At 50.0% G+C, this 4672-nt stretch overlaps 1 annotated feature.

Moving 5' to 3' along the window:
* Positions 678-1208: an enhancer, noted in NCBI's record as "H3K4me1 hESC enhancer chr2:60524583-60525113 (GRCh37/hg19 assembly coordinates)". NCBI's record gives its function as "activates a minimal SCP1, AML or CMV promoter by ChIP-STARR-seq in naive H9 embryonic stem cells {active_cell/tissue: H9 hESC(naive)}" and the evidence as "EXISTENCE:reporter gene assay evidence [ECO:0000049][PMID:30033119]".

The following is a 4672-nucleotide window of genomic DNA, read 5'->3' as shown; positions in this document are numbered from 1 at the left end:
TTCCGCATCCCAGTGAAACTGTTCTCCATCCCCTTTCATCCTGTTCCCGGGCCTTCTCTTTTGCCCTGCCCCATCTGCCAGACTCCAGGCATGAGCAGAGAGAGGGCGAGCTCTGAGTTTTATGGTATCTGTAGTTGTCCCCCAAGTGCAAGCGTCTAATTAGGCTTGACACTGCCGAGGCGTTTCCCTGACATTTATGTCACTGTCTCTCAATCTTTGGCAGCATTCGGTCTTGTGGGAAGCACAACAAACAATGTCAGAAACAACATAAAATTCCCCGTTAGAGGAGGCCCTCGGAAACGGTGCCGCTGTTTTTTAGGTTCACTAAAAGGGGAGGCCGAAGGGTGGGGCCGGGTGTGCAGATTCCGGCTTGGAGGAAGAAATAAAACGGCTCATTTAAATTCTTAAGAACTGCATAGGAGGCAGAAGACACAATGAGTATCTTAGAGAAGAAAGGCCATCAGTTGAACAAACTAATCACATGGTAATCAAAGGGGAGTGATTCGCTGCCTACTGAGAAGTACTTTAGAAGAAGTTCCAGCCAGGGAGAGTAAAGACCCTATCGAATGACAGCTTTCATAAATTATAGATTTTTAAAAATTGCACAAAGGAATGTGCAATAACGTGCGAAATGGATTTAAAGACGAAAAGTTCCTAAAGCATCTGGGCAAAGCCAGGAAACAGGCAGGGCTCAGCTATGGGAGGTTCTGATCCCGCGTCAGAGGCCCACGCCCCCCGCAAGCCCCGCCTCCCTCGCAAGGTCCCGCCCCCACGCTAAACCCCGCCTCCCGCAAAGCTCCGCGGGGATCCGCGTGCCTGGCGTTGATGCGGAAATGCCCTTCATGTGATTAGCCGGGAACTGGATGCCTGACTCAACAAACACCTTAATCAGGGAGCAGGTTGCTGGACTCTCTCCACTGCACACTGCCACCACCAGTTTTACAGACTGGAGATTCTTAGCCTTTACCACAGGACAGGAAGGCAGGGAGAAGCAGCATGACTTGGAGTCTGACTTCTGGGCTTAGGCCAGGCTTCCTGCCCCATAGTTAGGGTGGGCTGCTGGGTGGGGTGGGGTTGCTGGGAGGACTGCCCAGTCAGAGCTCTTCTCCGCCTAGGCTTGTCCTTAAGCCAGGCTGAGCACTCAAGCCCTCTGCCCAATCTGCTGTAGCCATTTCGGTCATGTGGAGTCGTAGCCTTGCTGGGAAGGGCAGCAGAGGCCAAGGTGGCTGGGAGGTGCTTCTGAGCATCAGGGCCAGGCCAGGTCTCAGCCAAGGGAAAGGAAGGCAAGCTCTGCCTCCTGGTCTCCCGCCTTTGCAACCAGGAGCCCTTTTCTTGAGCTGGTGCCCATGGTAGCTGCCTTGAGGCCTCTTCTTTTTCTCAGGTGGTAACAAAGTGATGACTAGCGAAGCCTTCAGATGTGATTCTACCTAGGACTGTCTGTCTTTGTAAGGAGATTTGAGAAGTTGGGAAAGTCGTGACAAGTTAGAAGTATTAGCACTGAGTGCTCTTTCTAACTGTGTGATCTGAGGACAGGTAATTAACCTCTCTGGGTCAAAGTTAAAAGGCAGGTGGGACTAGTACCTTCTTCTGAGTTGTGATGAGAAGCCCAAATGAGGTTCTGGATGCAAGTAGCTCAGCACAAAGCCCAGGATAGAGTGAGTGTTCAGTAATGTCAACTATTGTTATGCTACTGAGGTCACCCTGAGCATGACGGCTGGTGGTGGAGAGAGGCAAGGGTAGGCTTAGCTACCTGCTCTCTTCCTGACCTCCTAGAGGAACCTGAGTGGAGAAGGAGCATTGGCTTGTATGAGCTCCTAACAGAGTCTGTGAGGAACTGTGAAAGCTCCTCTCCTTGTCTCCAGACCCTGGCACGGGGGTGAACATGCTTAGTACTCCGGAAATTAGTCAGCCCCATCACTGGAAGATTTGACTGGTTGCTGCACTGTGGAGGGCAGGCTTGTAGACTATAGATTCCAGCTCCTGTTAGGAATGGATTAAATCTAACCTGCAGCCGCCACATGAGTGGCTTTCTTGGGGATCTGCCACACACGTGAGCGAGGCCTCAGACACATTGAAGGGAAATCAGCCTCCACTCCAGATGGTCAGTTGGGGCCCAGAGCCTCCAGGTCAGCTTTTGGGGGGTCTGCCAGTCTTGTCAGGAGTCCAGCTCTGTGCCATCATCCATTCAGTCTTTGGCATCAGAGAGGAAGGGAGTGTCTGGGGACTTTCCATGAGACCGGTTTAGCTGTGAACCCAGAAGAGAAAATAGGTGTGGTGAGAATCTAGCTGTCTCTGGCATAAACTCCTGAATGGCACAGGGTAGCTCTAAAGCTGGGCCTGAGCTTCTTAACTGGAGATCCTTGAATTTGTGGAGGATTCATGCACCTCTTGCAACTGGACGCAAAATGCATGTATGAATGTATTCACTTTTATCCTATTCTTAAAGGATTTGGGACTCCCCGAATACAAAGAATCTTTGCTTTATCTTGCTTTCTAGTCCAATGGGAAGACTTTGGGGCTGCCAGTTTAGGTGAATTCCCAACATGAGTCTACTCCAGCCTTATCCAGCCTCATAGATTCCAGATTAGATTCTGTGAGTTGATGATACTGAGGCCACCAGGCCAGCACAACGCTAAGAGGGCTGAAGCCCTGCTCCTGGTTGGACCAGAGTAGAATTATGGTACCTGCCTTCTGCATCCAACATTCTTTGAAAAGACGATGGGTCAGGGTCAGGATTTCTATCCCCCTTTCTCCGTCTTTCGTTTTCTTCCTTCCTTCTAGTAGGGAGCAAATGATGGATAAGAGGCAGAGATTTATGAGCACCGTACCTCATGGTGGCGCTGCTATTGAGAGGCTGTCAGCATTAGGAAGAGGGAGGTTTACTTGGCTGTGAAGAATCCGAGAGACTGCGATGGGCAGGGTTAGGGCCCTTCCAGAACAGATCCAGGAGCAAGGGTCATCCGGACCTCTCCAGTTTTCATGTTCAGGCGGGCAGGGAGAGGAGGGAGAGGGATGTCAGGGAAGGAAGTCCCAGACACCCATTCGAGACAGCCTCTGTGAGGGATGAAAGGCGACTCGATGGGAAAATTGACATTTTGCACCGTTGTCTCAATGCCGTGTCTGCCTGCAATGGGCTCAGAGCACCATTGTTTTCTTCCTGGTAATGGGCTCCACCTGAAAGCCCTTCCAGACGTCGAGGGCATGGCTGAGGGGTTACAAACGGTTCCGTGGCTTAAAAAGAAAACTTGGAAAAACCGCTGGTGTAGCCTAACAATGGGGCTTTGTGCTCTTGCCCGACCCTGCCTACCAGAGGGCCTTTTGTTTTCAACAATTTCTGGCACCGGACTTCAGGAGGCCATGGGCCCTGCTTTTCTCTTAAAGTCAGAAATACTTGCAGCTGGCATTCTGTTTCATCCTATCTCCTCAATTCGAGGGACCTACCCCCGTCTGAGGCCACGGCTGAACAGGAGTGGCCTGCTCTCTCTCTCTCCTATTTGTAAGGCAGGGCGGGAGACAATACTCCATCCAGCCTGGAGCTCCGGCTGTCTGGGTGAGTGCGACGCCAGCTGTCAGCCTGGGATAAGGTCAGACAGAGGCCACCCTGGTCCCAGGTGGGCAGGGGTCACCCAGGTGACCAGACTGCACCGGAGGCCCAGAGAGTGTGCAGGAGCATGAACTGTTGGGCTCCCCTGCAGGAGAGAAGCTGCAAGCACTGATGGGAATCCACTGCAGACCCTGGCCAGGGGGCCAGCATTGTTCCAGGTGCCTCTGTCCCTTCAGGAAGTTTGGGGTCTTCATTAAGCTTGTGCTTCTGCAGCCCAAACACAGGGGTATCCAGGCTGTGCTGGCCGGGTGGCCTTTCTCTGTTGATAGTTTTGTCATCTGGAGGAGTGCTTCAGGAAGAGGCGGTTCATTGGATCAAGTCCTCTCTCTGGTTTTGGAGACAGTAAAGCGTAACGATTAAGAATGAACCTTCTGAAGCCAGACTATGTTCAAATTCTGCTCAGCCACTGAGTAGCTTGGCAACAGAGGGCATGTGCCTCAGTTTGTTCACCTATAAAATAGGCCTAATGAGAGTATGTACTTATTTTGTAGGATTGTCATGGGTTTGAGTTGATGCACGTAACACACTTAGAGCAGTGCCTGTTAAACAGTAAGCACTCAATAAATGTCAGTTTTTATTATTAGCAAGAAATATCTCCAGGGGAAAGGGACCCTTCCCACTGATGACAATGCAGTGGCTCTGTGAGTGGTGTTTATGTCTGTCCGTCACGGTCACTACCCCTGAGAAACCTTCTTTTATCACTCCAACAGACAAGGTTGCCTTTTCTTTTAATTGCTTTGATATTTGTGATCTTGCACCTTCTAACTGAAAAAATTCCTTTAGGCTGTCTTCTCTGCCTTATCTTTTTCTGTCCATTCTCCCAGCTATTAATATCATAAATTCTTGTTAAATATTTTTTGGTTTACAGATTTCACTCTGTTTTTAGAAAACAACATATACTCTTTGTAAGAATATCCTTCATAAAAAGAAAAATCTCTAGTCTAGGATAATGTTCTTAAAGTTTTGTTCTTTTGATAAACTCCATTTTTTTTTTTTGAGAAGGAATCTCGCTCTGTCACCAGGCTGGAGTGCAGTGGTGTGATCTCGGCTCACTGCAACCTCTGCCTC

This window comes from Homo sapiens, chromosome 2 (genome assembly GCF_000001405.40).
Source record: "Homo sapiens chromosome 2, GRCh38.p14 Primary Assembly".
In the NCBI taxonomy this organism is placed as follows: domain Eukaryota; kingdom Metazoa; phylum Chordata; class Mammalia; order Primates; family Hominidae; genus Homo; species Homo sapiens.
This window is presented reverse-complemented; position numbering and strand designations above follow the sequence as displayed.